This window comes from Homo sapiens, chromosome 1 (genome assembly GCF_000001405.40).
Source record: "Homo sapiens chromosome 1, GRCh38.p14 Primary Assembly".
NCBI classification, from domain to species: Eukaryota; Metazoa; Chordata; class Mammalia; order Primates; family Hominidae; genus Homo; species Homo sapiens.
The window spans coordinates 153,981,151-154,003,533 of record NC_000001.11 but is presented as its reverse complement, the minus strand read 5'-3'; the positions used below and the strand labels follow the sequence as shown (position 1 = coordinate 154,003,533).

The 22,383-nt window shown below is 46.6% G+C and overlaps 3 protein-coding genes and 2 pseudogenes across 15 annotated transcripts in view, besides 6 other annotated features; 3 read left to right on the top strand and 2 right to left on the bottom strand.

Moving 5' to 3' along the window:
• NUP210L (nucleoporin 210 like) overlaps window positions 1–10,844 on the top strand; it is a 162,427-nt gene extending 151,583 nt beyond the window's left edge. For 4 of the 8 annotated variants that reach the window (XM_011510122.2, XM_011510123.2, XM_047433904.1 and 1 more), the window contains 5 exons: window positions 1,549–1,799; window positions 2,474–2,678; window positions 8,354–8,458; window positions 10,445–10,519; window positions 10,599–10,844. In XM_011510122.2, coding sequence (XP_011508424.1) covers window positions 1,549–1,799; window positions 2,474–2,678; window positions 8,354–8,458; window positions 10,445–10,519; window positions 10,599–10,699 — 737 coding nt within the window. In that variant the 3' untranslated portion in view covers window positions 10,700–10,844. Of the gene's footprint in view, window positions 1–1,548; window positions 1,800–2,473; window positions 2,679–8,353; window positions 8,459–10,444; window positions 10,520–10,598 lie in introns of those variants that run through there. The other 4 variants (XM_017002788.3, NM_001159484.1, XM_011510124.2 and 1 more) reach the window with 4 other exon arrangements.
• Window positions 5,383–5,467, top strand: LOC124904673 (uncharacterized; annotated as a pseudogene).
• Window positions 7,539–7,941, bottom strand: RPL34P5 (ribosomal protein L34 pseudogene 5; annotated as a pseudogene).
• On the bottom strand, window positions 11,379–12,772 carry RPS27 (ribosomal protein S27). 3 transcript variants are annotated; one of them, NM_001349946.2, is made up of 5 exons: window positions 12,732–12,772; window positions 12,500–12,620; window positions 12,311–12,419; window positions 11,858–11,968; window positions 11,379–11,469 (listed from the first exon to the last, which is right to left on the bottom strand). In NM_001349946.2, the coding sequence occupies exons 3-5, from the start codon at window positions 12,327–12,329 to the stop codon at window positions 11,441–11,443; spliced, it is 159 nt and encodes a 52-aa protein (NP_001336875.1). In that variant the 5' UTR covers window positions 12,330–12,419; window positions 12,500–12,620; window positions 12,732–12,772; the 3' UTR covers window positions 11,379–11,440. The 3 variants fall into 3 exon arrangements, with proteins under 3 accessions (NP_001336875.1, NP_001336876.1, NP_001021.1); NM_001349947.2 differs by having other exon boundaries at window positions 12,500–12,772; NM_001030.6 differs by lacking the exon at window positions 12,500–12,620.
• Window positions 11,848–13,047: an enhancer, noted in NCBI's record as "BRD4-independent group 4 enhancer chr1:153962963-153964162 (GRCh37/hg19 assembly coordinates)". NCBI's record gives its function as "activates an origin of replication core promoter dependent on BRD2, P300/CBP, MED14 and CDK7 cofactors, and independent of BRD4, by STARR-seq in HCT116 cells {active_cell/tissue: HCT116}" and the evidence as "EXISTENCE:reporter gene assay evidence [ECO:0000049][PMID:35650434]".
• Window positions 11,854–12,834: an enhancer, noted in NCBI's record as "NANOG-H3K27ac-H3K4me1 hESC enhancer chr1:153963176-153964156 (GRCh37/hg19 assembly coordinates)". NCBI's record gives its function as "activates a minimal SCP1, AML or CMV promoter by ChIP-STARR-seq in naive H9 embryonic stem cells {active_cell/tissue: H9 hESC(naive)}" and the evidence as "EXISTENCE:reporter gene assay evidence [ECO:0000049][PMID:30033119]".
• Window positions 12,532–12,891: an enhancer, noted in NCBI's record as "active region_1772". NCBI's record gives its function as "activates an Ori minimal core promoter by ATAC-STARR-seq in GM12878 lymphoblastoid cells {active_cell/tissue: GM12878}" and the evidence as "EXISTENCE:reporter gene assay evidence [ECO:0000049][PMID:35858748]".
• Window positions 12,826–21,884, top strand: RAB13 (RAB13, member RAS oncogene family). 4 transcript variants are annotated; one of them, XM_017001959.2, is made up of 8 exons: window positions 12,826–12,907; window positions 18,753–18,813; window positions 19,953–20,013; window positions 20,238–20,315; window positions 20,726–20,815; window positions 20,934–20,999; window positions 21,090–21,143; window positions 21,358–21,884. In XM_017001959.2, exons 3-8 carry the CDS (start codon window positions 20,011–20,013, stop codon window positions 21,433–21,435), a joined length of 369 nt encoding a protein of 122 aa, XP_016857448.1. In that variant the 5' UTR covers window positions 12,826–12,907; window positions 18,753–18,813; window positions 19,953–20,010; the 3' UTR covers window positions 21,436–21,884. The 4 variants fall into 4 exon arrangements, 3 of the variants coding, with proteins under 3 accessions (XP_016857448.1, NP_002861.1, NP_001258967.1); NR_073553.3 differs by lacking the exon at window positions 12,826–12,907 and adding an exon at window positions 17,195–17,517; NM_002870.5 differs by lacking the exon at window positions 12,826–12,907 and adding an exon at window positions 17,195–17,421.
• Window positions 17,092–17,593: an enhancer, noted in NCBI's record as "H3K27ac hESC enhancer chr1:153958417-153958918 (GRCh37/hg19 assembly coordinates)". NCBI's record gives its function as "activates a minimal SCP1, AML or CMV promoter by ChIP-STARR-seq in primed H9 embryonic stem cells {active_cell/tissue: H9 hESC(primed)}" and the evidence as "EXISTENCE:reporter gene assay evidence [ECO:0000049][PMID:30033119]".
• Window positions 17,111–17,280: a silencer, noted in NCBI's record as "silent region_1349". NCBI's record gives its function as "represses an Ori minimal core promoter by ATAC-STARR-seq in GM12878 lymphoblastoid cells {active_cell/tissue: GM12878}" and the evidence as "EXISTENCE:reporter gene assay evidence [ECO:0000049][PMID:35858748]".
• Window positions 17,907–18,136: an enhancer, noted in NCBI's record as "active region_1771". NCBI's record gives its function as "activates an Ori minimal core promoter by ATAC-STARR-seq in GM12878 lymphoblastoid cells {active_cell/tissue: GM12878}" and the evidence as "EXISTENCE:reporter gene assay evidence [ECO:0000049][PMID:35858748]".
• Window positions 21,885–22,383: the final 499 nt, after the last annotated feature.

Sequence of the window (22,383 nt, the reverse complement as noted above, 5' to 3'; positions counted from 1 at the left end):
GACTCTGTCTCTACAAAAATAATAAATAGTCCAGGCATGGTGGCTCACGCCTGTAATCCCAGCACTTTGGGAGGCTGAGGTGGGAGGATCACGAGGTCAGGAGATCGAGACCATCCTGGCTAACAAGGTAAAACCTCGTCTCTACTAAAAATACAAAAATTAGCCGGATGTGGTGGCAGGCGCCTGTAGTCCCAGCTACTTGGGAGGCTGAGGCAGGAGAATGGCGTGAACCTGGGAGGCAGAGCTTGCAGTGAGCTGAGATTGCGCCACTGCACTCTAGCCTGGGCAACAGGGCGAGACTCTGTCTCAAAAATATATATAAAATAATAATAATAGCAATAAATAAAAATTAAAAATTAGCCAGGCATGGTGGCACATGCCTGGAGTCCTAGCTGCCTGGGAGGCTGAGGTGGGAGGATTACTTGAGCCCAGGAGTTTAAGGCTGCAGTGAGGTAGAATTGCACCACTGCACTCCAGCCTGGGCAACAGTGTGAAATTCTGTCTCTTTAAAAAAAAAAAAAAAAGACAGCTAAGGATTAATCATGGGTAACTGGAAAAACAGTTCCTACCATTGATAAAAATAATGACACCAAGAGGTGGTCTGATACATAAGTTATTAATGATGCTCAAAGCTTGTCTGTCTTTCACAAACCCTTTCCTGAGTTCACCAGCACTGACTACTTCATTCTATATCCCCAGCTCTTAATTGCCCTGCTTGTGTTATATCATTTAATATTCCCTGACATGTTGAATAAGAATGGTATTCTTAGCCAGGGAGCAGTTTCTCACGCCTGTAAACCCAGCACTTTGGGAGGCCAAGGCAGGAGGATCGCTTGAGCCCAGGAGTTTGAGACCAGCCTGGGCAACATAATGAAGTCCCTTCTCTATAAAAAATATAATTTTTTTTTTTGAGACGGAGTCTTGCTCTGTCCCCAAGCTGGAATGCAGTGGTGTGATCTCAGCTCACTGCAACGTCCATCTCAAGCAATTTCCCTGCCTCAGTCTCCCAAGTAGCTGGGATTACAGGTACCCACCATCACACCCGGCTAATCCTCGTATTTTTAGTAGAGATGGGGGTTTCACCATGTTGGCCAGGCTGGTCTCGAACTCTTGACCTTGTGATCCACCCACCTCAGCTAAAAAATACAAAAATTAGCCAGGCACAGTGGCTCATGCCTGTAATCCCAGCTACTCGGGAGGCTGAGGTGGGAGGATCGCCAGAGCCTGGGAGGTCGGGCTGCAGAATGCCATGATCACGCCACTGTGCTCTAGCCTGCACGACACAGTGAGACCCTGTCTCCAAAAAAAAGAAAGAATGGTATTCTCAGAAAACAAGTTTAGTTGTGGTTTCTCTAGGAGTATTTTTCTTTTTATTTGGCATCCTCCTCGTAGTGGCCAATATTGTGCTGATATTGAATACTCAAAACTAAATTCACATTTTCTCTTTTGCTGAATTTGCATGTCACAATTTTCCCTTCCTATCCTAATTCAGTTGGCTCAATAGAGCCTCTGAACCTTCCTGCTCAGTTTTTCCTCTTTTTTTTCCAGGGGTTTATGTCTGCATAATCAAGGTTCGACCGCAGTCAGAGGAGCTGCTACAGGCCCTCAGTGTGGCTGACACCTCAGTCTATGGGTGGGCTACACTGGTCAGTGAACGTAGCAAGAATGGAATGCAACGAATCCTCATTCCTTTCATCCCAGCCTTTTATATTAACCAGTCAGAATTGGTTCTTAGCCACAAACAAGATATCGGGGAGATAAGAGTACTGGGAGTGGACAGAGTTCTTAGGAAGCTAGAGGTATGTTAAGAACTGAACCAAAACAGAACAAGAGATCAGGAATTTGAAAAGATAGTTTTCATTCTCACTTCAAGGGCAAAAGAAGTTACTGAGTGACCTAATAAAAATTACCATAGGAAATGACAAAATCAAATGAAGAAAACCCATCTCCTTCATAATGCCAGGCAGGCTCCCAGAGTCCAAAATCTAGGTCATAAGCTTTGTCAACATACCTAAAGGAGTAAAAAAAGTAAATGATTGGCCGAGCGCGGTGGCTCATGCCTGTAATCCCAGCACTTTGGGAGGCCAAAGTGGGTGGATCACAAGGTCAACAGATCAAGACCATCCTGGCCAACATGGTGAAACCTCTTCTCTACTAAAAGTACAAAAATTAGCTGGACGTGGTGGCGGACACCTGTAGTCCCAGCTACTCGGGAGGCTGAGGCAGGAAAATTGCTTGAACCCGGGAGGCAGAGGTTGCAGGGAGCTGAGATCGCGCCACTGCACTCCAGCCTGGGTGACAGAGCGAGACTCCCTCTCAACAACAACAAAAAAGTAAATGATTTGATTGTCGGCTAGCTAGCTAGAAATCCAGATCTTGACAATTATTGTACTGTATATGTTTCAGATTGGAACATACTGATACAAAGTTGATTTTTCTTCTTTTAAATAAAAGGTTTTATCTTTTCTCCAAGGTCATCTCCAGCTCCCCAGTTCTAGTGGTCGCTGGCCATAGCCACTCTCCCCTCACTCCTGGCCTGGCCATTTACTCTGTAAGAGTGGTCAACTTCACTTCCTTCCAGCAAATGGCATCACCTGTTTTCATCAATATTTCCTGTGTACTCACCAGTCAAAGTGAGGCAGTGGTAGTGAGGGCTATGAAAGATAAGTTGGGTGCAGGTAAGCATCAGAGATTCCTATTTATAATCTAGAGAGGAAAAGAAGAAAGAATGTATTACATTAGTACCCCCCATCTGCAGTTTTGCTTTCCGCATTTCACTTAACTGTCAACCACGGTCCAAAAATAAATGAAAAACTCCTGAAATAAACAGTTTAAATTGTGCACTGTTCCAAATAGCATGAGGAAATCTCACACTGTCCTGCTCTGGTCCCCAACCATGAATCATCTCTTTGTCCAGCATGTTCACACCGTATACACTATCAGCCCTTTAGTCACTTAGTAGCAGTCTCTGCTATCAAATCAACTGGTATCAAGGTATCACAGTGCAGTGCTTGTTTCAAGTAACCCTTATTTTACTTAATAATGGCTCCAAAGCACAAGAGTGGTGATGCCTGCAATTCGGGTATGCCAAAAAGAAGCTGGAAAGTGCTTCCTTTAAGTGAAAAAGTGGAAGTTCTCAACTCAGTAAGGAAAACATAGTACGTAGAGGGTTCAATATTATCTGTGGCATCCACTGAGGGTCTTGGAACATATTCCCCACAGATATGGGGGGACAGATGTTATCACAGTTTAGTTAATGGGAAACATTCAGCCACTTGACCAAGATTACTCAAACTAGTTGAGGCATGAATCTTCCAAACCTACCCAAAATACAACCTTTAGGTAGCTTTCTTAACACTACCTAAATTTTATATTTAACTTATATATTTAAGAATAGTTGTCAGCCAGGCATGATGGCCCATGCCTTGTAATTCCAGCACTTTGGGAGGCCGAGGTGGGCAGATCCCTTGAGCTCAGGAGTTCAAGACCAGCCTGGGGAACAAGGCAAAACTCTGTATCAACAAAAAAGTACAAAAAAAAAATTACCTGGGCATGGTGGCATGGACCTGTGGTCCCAGCTACTCGGGAGGCTGAGGCAGGAGGATTGCTTGAGACCAGGAGTTCAAGGCTGCAGTGAACTGTGATTGTGCCACTGCACTCCAGCCTGGTGACAGAGCAAGACCCTGTCTCAAAAAAAAAAAAAGGAAAAAGAATAGTTGTCAGTTTAACACGAGTTTGCCAGCTTTGTAAGTATACTATTTGCCCTATTTTAAACCTTTTTTTTTTTTTTTTTTTTTTTGAGAGAGTCTTGCTCTGTCACCCAGGCTGGAGTGCAATGTCGTGATCTCGGCTCACTGCAACCTCCACCTCCCAAGTTCAAGCGATTCTCCCGCCTCAGACTCCTGAGTAGCTGGGATTACAGGCACACACCACCATGCCCTGCTAATTTTTGTATTTTTGTAGAAATGGGGTTTCACCATGTTGGCCAGGCTGGTCTGGAACTCCTGACCTCAGGTGATCCACCCGCCTTGGCCTCCCAAAGTGCTGGGATTACAGGCATGAGCCACCGCACCCGGCCAATCTTATTGATAAATGTTTTGTTGTCTTCAAAAGTATTTAAATCTTTTTGCATCAGGCAATGGGCCAATGTTAACCCTAGAACCAAGACTTAGCTTTCCCAAATCCTGATTCCAGGCATTACCTAGTTTAGAAATAATGCCACATTGGATAGGATGGGAATAGTTACGAAAAGGTGTTAGAAAAGCTAGAGAACCATCAGTCTCCTTATATTGTATTTGTCACGCCCACTTCCCCACCCCTCAAGGGAAGCTACTTAATTACTGGGAACTATCTAAGCTAAATTATAGTGTATCTCCTAATGGGAAATAGGTTTTTGCTGATGTTTACGTGAGCATCTGGTTTGTATTGATCATTATCCTAAGCACATTTATATGCTTTTGGTTTAATTCTCATAACTCTAGGAGGTAGGTATTTTTCCCCAAGAGCTGAGGAAACTGAGATGCTGGTGCAGTGGCTCACACCTGTAATCCTAGCACTTTGGGAGGCTAAGATGGAGGATCACTTGAGCTCAGGAGTTCAAGACCAGGCTAAGCAACACAGCAAGACCTTATCTCTACTAAAAATCAAAAGAATTAGCCAGGCATGGTGGCATGCACCTGAAGTCCAGGCAGGAGGTTGAGGTGGGAGGACTGCCTAAGCCCAGGAGGTTGAAGTTGCAGTGAGGCATGATCACACCACTGCACTCCAGCCTGGGTGACAAAACGAGACCCTGTCTCAGGAATTAAAAAAAAAAAAAAAAAAAAAAGGATCTCTAGATACTATCACAGAATGTATTGGAACAGAGTTTTTAAATCTAGAGACCACGGATCCCCACAAAGGTCCATAGATAGAATTCAAGGTGTCCATTACCCAAGTGGAGAAAAATTGCATCTTTTTCTTTCCTTTTTTTTTTTTTTTTTTGAGACAGAACCTCGCTCTGTCGCCCAGTCTGGAGTGCAGTGGCACCATCTCAGCTCACTGCAACCTCCACTCCCAGGTTCAAGCAATTCTCCTCCCTCAGCCTCCCAAGTAGCTAGGATTGCAGGTGCCCGCCACCACGCCTGGCTAATTTTTGTATTTTTAGTAGAGGCAAGGTTTCACCATGTTGGCCAGGCTGGTCTCGAACTCCTGATCTCAAATGATCCACCCACCTTGGCCTCCCAAAATGATGGGATTACAGGCGTAAGTTACTGCGCCTGGCCGTGCATCTTTATTTTCAATTGACCACTAACTTAAAGTTAGCACTTTCACTGATTATTAATATAGGCAGCAAACCACCATAATATCAGCAGTATTGTGTGCTTTTGTCACCAACAGAATTCATTGACTATACTTTCAGGGATCATTTCTATAGTTCATTACTAGAGAAGTTTCTCAGAATGTATAGAGAAAAAAAAGAATCCACAGATATATTCATGTTCCTACTGCCAGATTTAAAAAATATTTCTCTTAAAAATTACAGTAATTGGCCAGGTGCAGTGGCTCAAGCCTGTAATCCCAGCACTTTGGATGGCCGAGCCGGGTGGATCACAAGGTCAGGAGTTTGAGACCAGCCTGGCCAACATGGTGAAACCCCGTCTCTACTAAAAATAAAAAAAATAAATAAAAATAAATAAAAATAGCCAGGTGTAGTGTCATGCACCTGTAATCCCAGCTACTCGGGAGGCTGAGGCAGGAGAATAGCTTGAATGGGGAGGCGGAGGTTGCAGTGAGTCGAGATCGCACCACTGCACTCCAGCCTAGGACAGAGCAAGACTCTGTCTCAAAAAAAAAAAAAAAAACAAATACAGTAATCACCAGCCTGGGCAACATGGCAAAACCCCATCTCTACAAAAAATACAAAATAATTAGCCAGGTGTGATGGCCTGCAGTCCTAGCTACTCTGAAAGCTGAAGTGGGAGGATCGCTTGAGCCTGGGAGGCAGAGATGGAGTGAGCTGAGATCTCACCACTGCACTGCAGCCTGAGTGAGAAAGAAAGGCTGTTTCAGGAAAAAAAAAAAAAAAAACAGAAAAGAAAAGAAAAACAGCCAAAAGGCCAGGTGCGGTAGCTCACGCTTGTAATCCCAACACTTTGGGAAGCTGAGGTGGGCAGATCACCTGAGGTCAGGTGCTCAAGGCAAGCCTGCGCAACATAGAGAGACCTCATCTCTAACAAAAATTAAAAGTTAAAGAAAAACATTTAAATTATTCAGGTGTTAAAAAAAAAAAAAAGGCCAGCGCGATGGCTCATGCCTGTAATCCCACCACTTTGGGAGGCCGAAGTGGTTGGATCACCTGAGGTGAGGAGTTCGAGACCATCCTGGCCAACATGGTGAAAACCCATCTCTACTAAAAATACAAAAATTATCTGGGCGTGGTGGCGGGCCCCTGTAATCCCAGTTACGCAGGATGCTGAGGCAGCAGAATTGCTTGAATCTGGGAGGCAGAGGTTGCGGTGAGCCGAGATCATGCCATTGCACTGCAGCCTGGGCAACAAGAGTGAAACTCCATCTCAAAAACAAAAAAAAAGTCGGACATGATGGTGTGCACCTGTAGTCCTAGTTACTTAGGAGGCTGCAGTAAGCCATGACTGCACCACTGCACTCCAGCCTGAGACCTTGTCTCAAAAAAAAAAAAAAAAAAAAAGGCAAGTCTACAGTTTTATTGAGGATAAGGTTAGATACAAATCAGAGTGCTCCCAAAAAATGACATCCTGAGTAGGACAAAGGTACTGTGGATTTAAGTGGTCACTGATGATCTTAAAAAAAAGTTTTGGCTGGGTGCAGCGGCTCATGCCTGTAATTCCAGCACTTTGGGAGGCCAAGGCGGGTGGATCACCTGAGGTCAGGAGTTTGAGGCCAGCCTGGCCAAAATGGTGACACTCATCCCTACTAAAAATACGAAAATTAGCCAGGCATGGTGGTGGGCACCTGTAATGCCAGCTACTAGGGAGGCTGAGACAAAAGAATTGCTTGAACCCAGGAGGCGGAGGTTGCAGGGAGTTGAGATGGTGCCACTGCACTCCAGCCTGGGCAACAGAGACTCCCTCTCAAAAAAATGAAAAGAAAATGTTTCAAGATAGAGATTACAATTATAAATGGAATCAGCATACTATCACAAGTTTAGTGAAGGGAAGCATGTTACCTGGGGTTAAAGTGCACGGGAAAGGTAAACAGCATGTTTTTGTTTGTTTTGTTTTGTTTGAAATAGAGTCTGGCTCTGTCACCCAGGCTGGAGTGCAGTGGAGAGATCTCGGTTCACTGCTAGCTCCGCCTCCCGGGTTCACGCCATTCTTCTGCCTCAGCCTCCCAAGTAGCTGGGACTACAGGTGCATGCCACCACACCCAGCTAATTTTTTCTATTTTTAGTAGAGACGGGGTTTCACCATGTTAGCCAGGATGGTCTTGATCTCCTGACCTTGTGATCCACCCGCCTTGGCCTCCCAAAATGCTGGGATTACAGGTGTGAGCCACCACGCCAGGCCGCATTTTTTTTTTAAGTCTCCTCATTTTTATTACTCAAAAGTTTCATTTTTTATTTAGCTGACTGTGCTTGTGCCTTCGACACTTTCACAACAATTTTCTGCTCCTCGATAAGGAGAGCACACTTGATCCAGTCACGAACACATTTAGCACACATGGAACCCGACATGTTGTTTTGGACAATCTCGTAAGAACTTCAGGTTTTACGGCACGAATCCCTTGAAGTCTGCCTGGGCACATGCCACATGCAGATTTTGGTGCTTTCCCATCCATCTTGGTATAAAGGTAAACAATTCTATTACCAAGGGTTTGGGACAGCCTAGTTTTGTTAGAGGCTGTATTGTAGGAAAGCCTACGTTGGTATGTCAAACGCTGGACCATTCTGAGTGCCTGCAGACAACGTCCCTGGAAGAGGAAGAAGTGGTAACCAGCATTTTAAAGTAGCAGAGGATTTAAAGCATCCTTTGAAATCTAAGAGGAAGAAATAACAAGCTCAAGAATTAGAGAGTTGTATTACTCTGGAGATAGGAAGAAGTCAAAAAGACGCGGTTGAGCCAAGTATAGTTCACATCTGAAGCTCTCTTCTCTCTTACTAAGAAGGCTGGGTTTTGAATACTTCTGGCAGATACTCTTATTACTATTTTTAGTCATAAGTTTTAAAATGCAGCATCTGCTGGAGGTTGCAGTGAGCTGAGATCGCACCACTGCCCTCCAGCCTGGGGGACAGAGTGAGAGTAAAACTCTGTCTCAAAAAAAATTAAATTTAAAAAATGCAGCATCTGCCCATGGTTGCTATTAACTATTATCTTGTTTTGTTATGGCCAATGTATAGATCACTGTGAAGATTCCGCCATCCTCAAGCGGTTCACTGGCTCTTACCAGATCCTGCTCTTGACCCTCTTTGCAGTGCTGGCATCAACAGCTTCCATCTTCCTAGGTAGAGTCCTTATATTCAATAACATAGACTTTGACATGAAAACTGCCTTTTTTTTTTTTTTTTTGAGATGGAGTTTAAGTCTGTCGCCCACGCTGGAGTGCAGTGGCGCAATCTTGGCTTACAGCAACCTCTGCCGCCCGAGTTCAAGCAATTCTCCTGCCTCAGCCTCCCGAGTAGCTGGGATTACAGGCGCCGGCCACTGCTCCCGACTAATTTTTGTATTTTTAGTAGAGACGGGGTTTCACCATCTTGGCCAGGCTGGTCTTGAACTCCTGACCTCGTGATCCACCCGCCTCGGCCTCCCAAAGTGCTGGGATTACAGGCGTGAGCCACCGCGCCCAGATGAAACTGCCTTATTTCACAAATAAGGATGAAAATTAGCCACTTATCACATATAATTTTAACAAACAGTGTAAACTAAGCCTTGCTAGTCCTAGTAACGTGGTGGATTAAAGGTCCCCCTCAGCCGGGCATGGTGGCTTATGCCTGTAATCCCAGCACTTTGGGAGGCCAAGGCGGGTGGGTCACCTAAGTTCAGGAGTTCGAGACCAGCCTGGCCAACATGGTGAAACTCCATCTCTACTAAAAATAACAAAAATTAGTCAGTGTGGTGGCACATGCCTGTAATCCCAGCTACTCGGGAGGCTGAGGCAGAAGTGCTTGAACCTGGGAGACACAGGTTGCAGTGAGCCAAGATCGTGCCACTGCACTTCAGCCTGGGTGACAGAGCAAGACTCCGTTTCAAAAAAAAAAGGTCCTCAACTTACTACCAAGAAGCAACAAACTGGATTTGGCAAACACACACCACTCAGAAGTGGAAACCACTACTAAATCTTGAGGTATAACAGCTACTTTTGCTGAAATTCATAGTTAGGGATAATTCAAGTAACAAAACAGACTGGGTGCAATGGCTCACACCTGTAATCCTAGCACTTTGGGAGGCCAAAGTGGGAGGATGGCTTGAGTCTAGGAATTTAAGACCAGCCTGGGCAACACAGAGAGACTCCATCTCTACAAAAAAACTTTAAAATTAGCTGGGTGTGGTGGTGGCACACATCTAGTCCCAGCTACTAGGGAAGCTGAGGCAGGATTTCTTGAGACAGGGAATTCAAGGTGGCAGTAAGCCATGATTGTGCCACTGTACTCCAGTGATACTGTGTGTCTAAAAAAAAATTTTTTTGAGATGGAGTCCCATTGTCACCCAGGCTGGTGTGAAGTGGTGCAATCTTGGCTCACTGCAACCTCCATCGCCCAGTTTCAAGCGATTCTCCTGCCTCAGCCTCTCGAGTAGCTGGAATTACAGACACCCGCCACCACACCTGTCTAATTTTTTATTTTTAGTGGCATGTTGGCCAGGCTGGTCTTGAATGCCTGACCTCAGGTGGTCTGCCCACCTAGGCCTCCCAAAGTGCTGGGATTACAGGCGTGAGCCACCACACACAGCCTAAAAAAAAAAAAATTAACACAACACTATTGTCTACTCCATTTCCCCACTTTTTTTTTTTTTTCTGAGACAGAGTCTGGCTCTATCGCCCAGGCTGGAGTGCAGTGGCACGATCTCAGCTCACTACAAGCTCCGCCTCCCAGGTTCACACCATTCTCCTGCCTCAGCCTCCTGAGTAGCTGGGACTACAGGCACCCGCCAACACGCCCAGCTAATTTTTTATATTTTTAGTAGAGACGGGGTTTCACTGTGTTAGCCAGGATGGTCTCAATCTCCTGACCTCGTGATCCGCCCACCTCAGCCTCCCAAAATGCTGCGATTACAGGCGTGAGCCACCGTGCCCGGCCATTTTCCCCCTTTCAGCCAAAAGCTGAAAGTAACTCTAAAATGGGTTAAATTGGGATAAAAACTTCCTGTAATAGTGCCATTACTATTACTTATTTTTAAGAATTATTTTTAGCAATATTCTCATTCTAGAGTTGACTTTGCCTTTTAAGGCCTTCCTCAGATATGCCTTGTGACATTTCCTGTCCTTTTTCCAGCATACAATGCCTTCCTAAACAAGATACAAACAGTTCCAGTTGTGTATGTACCAACTCTAGGAACACCACAGCCAGGTAAAAAAGCCTCTGTCCTCATCTTTGAAAAGCTCAGATACACACGTTTAATTCACTCAACTTTTCCCTCTTCTTCTAGGTTTTTTTAACTCCACAAGTTCTCCCCCTCACTTCATGAGTCTACAACCTCCATTGGCCCAAAGTCGGCTGCAACATTGGTTATGGAGTATAAGGCACTAACCTCTGCTTGGACAAGTTTCTCTTAACTGCAGGGGAATGAAGATTTCTAGTCCTCGACAAGAAGCCTAACAGCAACTTCTACATTAAGTTTCCAGATAAGGCTTCTGAGAACTATAAATAAAGCATCCTAAGCTGTTTCTTAAAACTGGTATGTCAGACTGTATTGTAAAGAGTTAACTGTCGGCCGGGCGCGGTGGCTCACGCCTGTAATCCCAGCACTTAGGCAGGCGGATCACCAGGTTAGGAGTTTGAGACCAGCCTGACCAACATGGTGAAACCCCGTCTCTACTAAAAATACAAAAATTAGCCAGGCATGGTGGTACACACCTGTAATCCTAGCTACTCAGGAGGCTGAGGCAGGAGAATCACTTGAACCTGGGAGGCAGAGGTTGCAATGAGTCAAGATTGTGCCACTGCACTCCAGCCTGGGCAACAGAGCAAGATTCCATCTCTCTTATAAAAAAAAAAAAAAACACCAAACACAACACTTGAGATAGTATCACAGTTTAAAAAAAAAACAAATTTATCCAATGAGCCTAGGTGGTTAAAAATGCCCCCAAAGGGACTTTTAAAGTACTTGGCCACTTACGTGCCCCAAATGACTCTAATATTCTCCTCTTCCTGGTTGCCCCAGAATACTTGAGACAGGAACTTCCTAACACTTAAACAAGACAATAAACAGGATTTATCCAAAATGTGTTTATTGAGATGGTTTCCCACTCATCTTGACTCAGAGTGCTTTTAGTGCTGCTTCCTCCTGAAGGAACATCCTGGAGGAAAAAGATTCAGAGATTAGCTGTCATCAGTACAGGTATTCTGCCCACCTCTCCCAAAAAAGCAGATGCATGATGATCCACCCACAGAAAGCTACATCTTTTTTCTCAACTCTTAGCTACCTGCGCATTTGTATCACTGGTTACTTCCTATCAACTTAAGCCCTTTTATCACCCATTTATCCCCGCTTTAGACAGTAGTGCTTTGAGATTAATACATAGCTTTTGGTAGTATCTAGTTAAAACAACCAAATCCAACACTTCTTGTCTAAAAATTTACATTATAGATGATCCCTGTCACTGTTAAGACCGAAAAATCCTAAGAAATGTTTCCATTTCTAAAAATCAAACTCAAAGCCCCAAATCACATTAGTAAACCATTTACCTTCTGTAAGCCTTGCTTTTCCTCCTGTAGGCTGGCAGAGGACAGTGGAGCAGCCAACACACAAAACTACCGTTTGTGCATGGCTAAAGACCGTGGTGATTTTATAGCATCCTGAAAGAAAAGCAGATAACATTTTTTTCCTCTATTACACCCGTCTTTCCTGCACTTATGCCCAACTCATCATCCATTACATTGTTTCCCAACACAAAAAAACGTAGGGGTTGTATGTGAAATGTGATGAGAGATCACGGTGAAATGAATCACTCCTCCTAAGATGCAAAACTTTGCCAGTCTCATACATTCAAATTTTAAGAGTATCAGGGAAAATATTTTCCACAGGCGAAGAAACTGAAGCTGCTGCACAGCTTCAAGGATACGAGACAGCTAACACTACAACATTTTCCAACTGTTGAGGTCCAGTGCTTTCCCCACTACAGCAAGCCGTCTCCTCACCTGGGCATTTCACATCCATGAAGTAGGAATTGGGGCTCTGCACCAGGCGTTTCTTCTTGTGTTTCCTCTTCTCCTCTTCTGGAGAGGGATGAAGGAGATCCTTTGCGAGCTAAGAGGGACAGAAATGCAGAGATTTAGAAACCAACAGCGAAAATGGGATGGTCGAAAATAGCCCCCACTGTCACACACCGGGGAGAGCTCGCCCCTCGCCGCCCCTGGTGTCTGCGCAGCTGGGCCGCCATCTTATCTCCTCTCCGCTCCCGTCTATGCGGGTGGCCCGTGGGCCGCTGCGGTCCCTGGAGTTAATGTCCTAAGAAGTGCAGAGGGTAAATGAGGACCCTCTACGATCCGAAATCAGCGTGAGGGGAGAGTTCGGACAGAACAGCGAGATCTCCGCCGAAACCTGGACCAAAGCACTCACAGGCATGTTCTCGTGTGCGTAGGTCGTCACCGCCGGAAAGGAGCGAAAGCGGAAATCCTGCCCCTTATATAGAGCACACTACAGGAAATGACGCAAGGATCTTGTGCCACCATGTTTGGAACGTCTTACTTTGATCCGCCGCAGTGGGGAGACAAGGGAGCTGCCATTTTCGGAAGGTCTTTAACTGTTAGTTGTGACACATATGCGTCACCATGTTGAGAGGGTTACCTTGCTAATTTGAGGTCAGCGTTTGATCACTATCCAGGGATAAATGGACACTTTTAAAATTTTGTGCCATACCTTGACAGTTGGAGCCTAATAAATAGGAAAGGTTGAGGAAAACACCAGGGAGAAGGAGCCATATCCAGGACTTCCGTCCTATTTTTTAAATACCTATATTCTTAACTCTTTTTCTATTGGTTTAATTTAACAGTTTAGGCCGGGCGCAGTGGCTCATGCCTGTAATCCCAGCACTTAGGGAGGCCAAGGCGGGTGGATCACCTGAGGTCAGCAGTTCAAGACCAGCCTGGCCAACATAGTGAAACCCCGTCTCTACTAAAAATACGAAAATTAGCCAGGCGTGGTGGCGTGTGCCTGTAATCCCAGCTACTCTGGAGGCTGAGGCAGGAGAATCGCATGAACCTGGGAGGCGGAAGTACAGTGAGCCGAGATCCACTCCAGCCTGGGTGACAGAACAAGACTCTGTCTTAAATAAATAAATAAACAGGGGAGACATGGTTTGGTCAGTGAAAAGAAATAGGGAAGACTCAAGGAGATAATGAGAGGTGAGAGAATGGACAAAAAGAGATTGAATAGTTTAGCTTGAGAAGGGACAAGCATGGACACGGAAGGTGATGGGGATAAGTGAAAGATGCCTTCTTTTTTTTTATTTTTATTTTTATTTTTTTTTTAGACACAGTTTTGCTCTTGTTGCCCAGGCTGTAGTGTGATGGCGCCATCTCGGCTCACCACAACCTCCGCCTCCCGCGTTCAAGCGATTCTCCTGCCTCAGCCTCCCGAGTAGCTGGGATTACAGGCATGCGGCACCATGCCCGGCTAATTTTGTATTTTTAGTAGAGACGGGGTTTCACCATGTTGGCCAAGCTGGTATTGAACTCCCGACCTCACGTGATCCACCTGCCTCGGTCTCCCAAAGTGCTGAGAATACAGGCGTGAGACACCGCGTCCGGCCTTTAATTTTTTATAGGCAGCCAGAATAGGCTCGAGAGAGACTCCCTTGAATAATTTTTTCTTGCCCGGGCGCCGTGGCTCACGCCTGTAATCCCAGCACTTTGGGAGGCCGAGGCGGGTGGATCACGAGGTTAGGAGATCGAGACCATCCTGGCTAGCACGGTGAAACCCCGCCTCTACTAAAAATACAAAAAATTAGCCGGGCGCGGTGGCGGGCGCCTGTAGTCCCAGCTACTCGGGAGGCTGAGACAGGAGAATGGCGTGAACCCGGGAGGCGGAGCTTGCAGTGAGCGGAGATCGCGCCGCTGCACTGCAGCCTGGGCGACAGAGCGAGACTCCGTCTCAAATAATAATAATAATAATAATAATAATTTTTTCTTTGCCGGTCGCGGTGGCTCAGGCCTGTAATCCCAGCACTTTGGGAGGCTGAGGCGGGCGGATCACGTGACGTCGGGAGTTCGAGACCAGCGTGGCCAACATGGTGAAACCCCGTCTCGACTAAAAAAAAAAAAAAAAAAAAAAAATTTAGCTGGGCGTCGTGGCAGGCGCCTGTAATCCCAGCTACTCGGGAAGCTGAGGCTGGAGAATCGCTTGAACCCAAGAGGCGGAGGTTGCAGTGACCAGAGATTGAGCCATTGCACTTCTGCCTGGGTGACGAGCAAAACTTTGTCTCAAAAAATAAAATAAAAGTAAAAACAAAGGTTGGGCGCAGTGGCTCACGCCTGTAATCCCAGGCCTTTGGGAGGCAGAGGTGGGTGGATCACCTGAGGTCGGGAGTTCGAGAGCAGCCTGACCAACATGGAGAAAGCTCGTCTCTACTAAAAATACAAAATTAGCAGGGGGTAGTGCGGGTGTCTGTAATTTCAGCTACTCGCGAGGCTGAGGCAGGAGAATCGCTTGAACCAGGGAGGCGGAAGCTGCGGTTAGCCCAGATCACACCATTGCACCCCAGCCTACGCAACAAGAGCGAAACTCCACCTCAAAATAAACAATAAAAATTAAAAAAATAAAAATAAAAATAGGCCGGGCGCGGTGGCTTACGCCTGTAAACCCAGCACTTTGGGAGGCCAAGGCGGGCAGATCACGAGGTCAGGAGATCAAAACCATCCTGGCTAACACGGTGAAACCCCGTCTCTCCCTAAAATACAAAAAATTAGCCGGGTGGTGGCGGGCGCCTGTAGTCCCAGCTACTCAGGAGGCTGAGGCGGGAGAATGGCGTGAACCCAGGAGGCGGAGCTTGCAGTGAACCGAGATCGCGCCACTGCACCCCAGCCTAGGTCGACAGAGCAAGACTCCGTCTCAAAAAAAAAAAAAAAATAGGGCCAGGCGTGGTGGCTCACGACTGTAATCCCAGCACTTTGGGAGGCCGAGGCGGGCGGATCAGAAGGTCAAGAGATCGAGACCATCTGGCCAACATGGTGAAACCCCATCTCTACTAAAAATACAAAAATTAGCTGGGCGTGGTGTCGGGCACCTGTAATCCCAGAGGATTACAGGTACTCCAGAGGCTGAGGCACAAGAATCGCTTGAATTCGGGAGGCGGAGGTTGCAGTGAGCCGAGATTGCGCCACTGCACTCCAGCCTGGCGACAGAGCAAGACTCTGTCTCAAAAAAATTAATTAATTAATTAAAAAATAAATAAAAAATTTTTTTGAAACAGGATCTTACTCTATCACCGAGGCTGGAGAGCAGTGGCATCATAATCGTGGCTCACTACAGCCTTGGACTCTTGGGCTCAAGTGTTCTGCCCACTTCTGTCCCCCAAGTAGCTGCGGCTGGGACTACAGGCCACACCACCATGTATGGCTAATTTTTTTTTTTTTTTTTTTTTTTTTTTGTCGAAGCAGTCTCACTATGTTGCCCAAGCTGGTCTTGAACTCCTGGGCTTAAGGGATCCTCTCACGTTGGCCTCCCAAAGTGCTGGGATTACAAGTGTGAGCCACCGCAACAGGTCTTAGATAATATTTTCTTTCTTTCGTGTTTCGTATTTTTTTCCACCCCCAGCACACATATAGCAAGAATAATTTTTTTCTAAAGGCAGAGATAAACTTGTTTCTCTTTTACTCTCTTTCTTTCTTTCTTTTTTTTTTTTTTTTGAGACGGAGTCTGGCTCTGTCGCCCAAGCTGGAGTGCAGTGGCGCAATCTCGGCTCACTGCAAGCTCTGCCTCCCGGGTTCACGCCATTCTCCTGCCTCAGCCTCCCAAGTGGCTAGGACTACAGTCGCCTGCCACCACGCCCGGCTAATTTTGTGTGTGTGTGTGTATTTTTAGTAGAGATGGGGTTTCACCATGTTAGCCAGGATGGTCTCGATCTCCTGACCTCGTGATCCGCCCGCCTCGGCCTCCCAAAGTGCTGGGATTACAGGCGTGAGCCACCGCGCCCGGCAAACTTGTTTCTTTATACCCGTGCTGTTCATATTTCAGCTTCCTGGTTACCAAGGCTACACATTCATGGCCTATTGAGTGAGATTTCAGGAGTACTGCACCTTAAGTGGGCCATATTAAAAGATTCACGTAAAGAATGACATTTTTAGTTCAAATCTCTGTTTTCCTAAGCTATTTGGTCAGAGAAATCACACATGGGTCCCCATAAGAGAGATCGTTCCAACTGAAGCCCCAGGATGTGTCTAGGTAGGCTGTGTGTGTTGGGGTGGTGGGGCCGATTCTGTATAACTAATTTACGTTTTCACCCTGTTCCACCAGGGGGCAGACTGACTCAACAAATAACCTACTTCTGCGCATCCCGCTTTTTTCAAAGTGAATTGGGACCCATAGAACTAAGGGCTTGGACAACTAACAGTAAAATTCTAGGACTGCCTTTTACTCAGCCCCAGAAACCGATGATAACTCATCTTCTAGCTTCGTTGAATAGCATCTCCAAAACTCAGCCCCATTTTTTTTTTTCAATTTCTAGTGCTCTCCCTACCTTCACCCTTATTCCCAAAACTCTTGGTTCTCTTCCCCTAATCCCTCTAAAATTTCTCTTCTAAAATTTCTGGTCGTCGTGGTTAAACCTCTACTTCCCTTCACCCCAGCCTCTCTGGCCTCAGAATGGAAGAGTAAGGTCCTAAGAGGGGAGCTACAATTACCGAAAGGCTGTGGAAAATAGCGAGAGAGACAGGCCGGCCTAAGCTAGGAAGGGAAAACCGAGAGAACAGAGGCCGGGCTGGCAGCCTTGGCCTGCTCAAAAGGGTGGGCGGGCAGGGGGTGGAGCCCGGAGGGGTGCCGCCTCTCCTCTTTCCCGGAGCCTGGGCGGAGAGGGAGGAAAACTTCTTCCTGGCCTGGGCTCCGTGCCGCTCTGTTTGCCAACCGTCCAGTCCCGCCTACCAGTGCCGGGCGCTCCCCACCCCTCCCCCGGCTCCCCCGGTGTCCGCCATGGCCAAAGCCTACGACCACCTCTTCAAGTTGCTGCTGATCGGGGACTCGGGGGTGGGCAAGACTTGTCTGATCATTCGCTTTGCAGAGGACAACTTCAACAACACTTACATCTCCACCATCGGTGAGCCCGCTGGCCATGTCCCAGACCCCGACTCTCCTGTGACCTCCTTCTCCGGCTCCCGGATTACTAGTGACCCCACTTTTCAGTCCCCTTAGAGTAAGGCTCCTAAATTCTAGTCCCTCAACCCCTGGCTCTGACCCTTCCCCCGTGCATGTCTCTGTATAGTAACCAAACCTCTCACCTCTCTGAGGCCTTCAGGTAACTCTTCAACTGCTGCCAGCTCCTCATTTTCTTGGTACCATCGCCTTAGTCTCCCCAAATCCACAAGAACTCTTCTCTATTTTTCTCTGTTCCCCTCTTCCCCTACCCCCACCACCTAGAACTCTCTCGATCCTATCTCCATGTTTCCTGTATCCCTGTCCGCCACATCTTTTTCTCCCGATCCGATGCTAGCCTCTTTCTGTCTTGCTGAGCTTCAAACTCTCCCACTGTGTCCCCACCTCACCATCTACTTCCCAGGTTCCCTGCCCCAGTCTCCCTGCACCTCAGCTGAACAAGGGTTTGGGAAGGGTGGAACAAGGTGGCTGGGTGTGCTGGAGGGTGGCCCAAGGACTGTGATCATGAATATGCAGCCAGCTTGGTGAGGAACGTGGAAATGAGGGGACTTTTGGGGTCTCTGAGTCAGCCTGGTGACTCATCCTCCTCCCAGGGGCCCCCAGCAGGCTTGGGGGAGGTGCCCAAGTTTCTACTAAGAAGAACATTGTCTCCCCTCCTCCCTTCTCTTCTTTCTTCATCTCCTCTGGCTTGGGAAATAGACAGGAAGAGTCTCACGACAATTCTGGTTACAAAGGAAAAGGAAAAATGCCCCTCTTTCCTAATTGTCTCAAAAGTAATCCTGTTTAGCCTCAGACTTTCCTAGTGCCAAGTTTGGCCCACTAGTTAATTCACATAGACTGGCTTCAGCTACTTTTTTCCTTACTCTCTACTAGGAGGGTAGGTGGGATACCAAGAGTAGAGGGCTCTAAGAAAACAGAGAAGAGGAATGTGAAAGTAATATCTGGGGGGAGACAGAGACTGAATTCAGAGAGTTGTCAGCTGGTATAACTGAATGGACCCAAGAGGCAGCCTAAGGATTTTAAGCCTCCATGCAGAATTTTCGTCACCTTTTCCCTCCCAAAATCCATAAAATGTACGTAAAAATAGTATTCTTGCTATACAAATACAGCTTTGGGAAAATTCTCCTAGCTTGGCATTTCCAACAAGATTGTTCCCCAAGTGCCTCCCCTGCAGAATTTCTGGTGCCAGCACTGCTCCGTTCCTGTCCCTTCCATCACACAGTTTTACATGTGTGCATGCATGTCTCAACTTCAGTGCATACCTTCCACCCCTAGGAATTGATTTCAAGATCCGCACTGTGGATATAGAGGGGAAGAAGATCAAACTACAAGTCTGGTAAGTCAGTCCTCTGGGATGCCTCGCCAGACTTCCCCATTTACCTCCTACACGTTTTTCCTTCTATTTTGTTTCATTTCTCTTCCTTTCCCCATTGCTCCTTCTAGAAGTGCTAGAAGGAGCACTTCTGGCATTTCTCCGGATGCACTCAGCTGTCCTTCCATCTCTCTTCCTGCTCTCCCAACTAGTTCCAACTCTTTTGTAACTCTTGCCTCCTCTGGCTGCAGAGCATCCTCTTAATTTGACAACAAACAACTGTTCAGTCATAACATGGAAACAGGCTGTGAGCAGTTAAATGGCAAAGGCAGAATTAAGACTTGACTCTAAGTCTAGTGTTTTCTCCAAAATATGGTGAGCCCAGAGAGCCAAATATAGACCCTGAAGGTGTTTAAGTGGTATGAAGCTTAGTGGAGGCATTATGCTATGACATATAAGAGCAGACTGGTGCGCAAATCTGGTTCTTTTAGTTATCTCCTGCCTGACCTTCATTAATTATTCAGCCTATCCAAATCTGTTTCCTCTTTTTTTTTTTTTTTTTTTTTTGAGACAGAGTTTTGCTCTTGTCACCCAGGCTGGAGTGCAATGGCACAATCTAGGCTCACTTTAACCTCCGCCTCCTGGGTTCAAGTGATTCTCCGACCTCAGCCTCCCAAGTAGCTGGGATTACAGGCGCCCGCCACTAGGCCGGGCTAATTTTTGTATTTTTAGTAGAGACGAGGTTTCACCATGTTGGCCAGGCTGGTCTTGAACTCCTGACCTCAGGTGATCCACCCGCCTCAGCCTCCCAAAGTGTTGGGATTATAGACGCAAGCCACGGCACCTGGCGTGTTTCCTCATTTTTAAAATAGAGACAATAATACATGTCTTACAAGGAAAGAGTAAGGATTAGATAAAATGATACATACACAGTGCTTGACACATAGCAAACATTCAATGAATAAGCAAAGACATCTTGTTTCTTGGGCCACTACCATCTCTGGAAATCAGCTCAACTGTCTTTAATCCCGTTCCCCTTTACTGTTTCCTTATTCTGTTGCCCCACCATGTTACAAAAGCTAAATTCTTGTGAGAGAGGAAGAATTATTCCGTTGGAGAATTCTTCCCTCTATTCCATCCCATGAAAACTTCTCCTTCTTTAGGGACACGGCTGGCCAAGAGCGGTTCAAGACAATAACTACTGCCTACTACCGTGGAGCCATGGTATGAAGTGTGGGTCTGAACAAAGGATGAAGGATGAGGCTACAGAATATATTATGAATACAAAGGGTCAGGGGTTGGGGCAGGTAAAAATGGGAGGGGTGCAGTGTGGGTTGCAGAGGGCCCAACATGGCCTAGTGTTTAGACCCATGGATGCGGGGTCACTTACAGGGCAGTGGGAAGCCTCAATGGGAACATGGTCCAAGGTGAATTTTGTCATCTCCCAGGGCATTATCCTAGTATACGACATCACGGATGAGAAATCTTTCGAGAATATTCAGAACTGGATGAAAAGCATCAAGGAGGTGAGGACCCTCCAAAAGAGATGGGGAAACTGGTTAGAACCTGGAGAATGAAGGGGTCCATCAGGATAGGCAAGACCTAACTTTTTTTTTTTTGAGATGAAGTTTTGCTCTTGTTGCCCGGGCTGGAGTGCAATGGCAGGATCTCGGCTCACTGCAACCTCTGCCTCCCAGGTTCAAACGATTTTCCTGCCTCAGCCTCCCAAGTAGCTGGGATTACAGGCATGCACCACCATGCTCGGCTAATTTTGCATTTTTAGTAGAGACGGGTTTTCTCCATGTTGGTCAGGCTGATCTTGAACTCCTGCATCAGGTGATCCACCCGCCTTGGCCTCCCAAAGTGCTGGGATTACAGGCGTGAGCCACCGCTCCCAGCCGGCAGGACCTAACTTTTACTTGTCTTTTGCCCCCAGAATGCCTCGGCTGGGGTGGAGCGCCTCTTGCTGGGGAACAAATGTGACATGGAGGCCAAGAGGAAGGTGCAGAAGGAGCAGGCCGATAAGGTGAGGGCCAGGCTGAGCAATGTTCTAGAACTGGGCTGGGAGGGCCAAGATAGGTTGCATTGCAGAGGACTTGGCTGCTGTCCTTAATTCAATTCTCTTCCCACTTCACCCCTTATAGTTGGCTCGAGAGCATGGAATCCGATTTTTCGAAACTAGTGCTAAATCCAGTATGAATGTGGATGAGGTGAGATCCACACCCCCATCCCCGACCAAGAGAGGAAGTATTAGAAGGTAGATTCTCCTCCCTCCAAACTGACTCTGTTCCCCACTTTAGGCTTTTAGTTCCCTGGCCCGGGACATCTTGCTCAAGTCAGGAGGCCGGAGATCAGTAAGTTGGTTTTGCTGGACTAGGTACAACTCTGGGGTGTGTGTGTGTGTATGTATGTGTGTGTGTGTGTGTGTGTGTGTGTGTGTGTTGGTGTTGATAAAAACGGGGAGCAATGCTAAGATTTCTCATGAGGGTGGATTTACTTTAAACAGTTTATACCCTCCTACCCTAACCATCCATTCACACCATGACACCTGTGCCCTTCTCCCTCTAGGGAAACGGCAACAAGCCTCCCAGTACTGACCTGAAAACTTGTGACAAGAAGAACACCAACAAGTGCTCCCTGGGCTGAGGACCCTTTCTTGCCTCCCCACCCCGGAAGCTGAACCTGAGGGAGACAACGGCAGAGGGAGTGAGCAGGGGAGAAATAGCAGAGGGGCTTGGAGGGTCACATAGGTAGATGGTAAAGAGAATGAGGAGAAAAAGGAGAAAAGGGAAAAGCAGAAAGGAAAAAAAGGAAGAGAGAGGAAGGGAGAAGGGAGAGGAATGAATTGAGGAAGTGAAAGAAGGCAAGGAGGTAGGAAGAGAGGGAGGAGGAAAGGAAGGAGAGATGCCTCAGGCTTCAGACCTTACCTGGGTTTTCAGGGCAAACATAAATGTAAATACACTGATTTATTCTGTTACTAGATCAGGTTTTAGGGTCCTGCAAAAGGCTAGCTCGGCACTACACTAGGGAATTTGCTCCTGTTCTGTCACTTGTCATGGTCTTTCTTGGTATTAAAGGCCACCATTTGCACAAATGTTCCTGTTTTGGGTAACTTGGATTATTGTCAGAATTGTTCTCCACTCAAATCCAATTATTGTGTCTTCAAAGTGATTGATTTACCCAAATCAGGCTCGGTTTCTGTGGAACCAGGACTAATCCTACTGCTGTCTCTTCCCTAGCTGTTCTGTTGGTAAGGAAAATAGCAAAGAGCAGGAGGTAGAGTGATCTGAAGGTCTGGATATCCTCTTTCCGCCATGGGGTCCGGATGCCCTTGTGGGCAGAGCCTTGTCCTGAGCACAGGAAATTCCCAGCGAGAAGAACTCTAACAGTCCTAGCCTCAGGGAAATAACTGCACCTAGTGATTTATCCAGTGATTTGTGCAAGCTTCTTTGATTCTGCCAGCAATCCATTTAGTTATTTGATAGGCATTAATATCTGCTTTTATTAGTGAGGAAAATGAGAAGTTCATTTATTCATATATGTATATTGAGCATCTACTAAGTGCCAGGCACAATGGTCAGTTATTTTATTTAT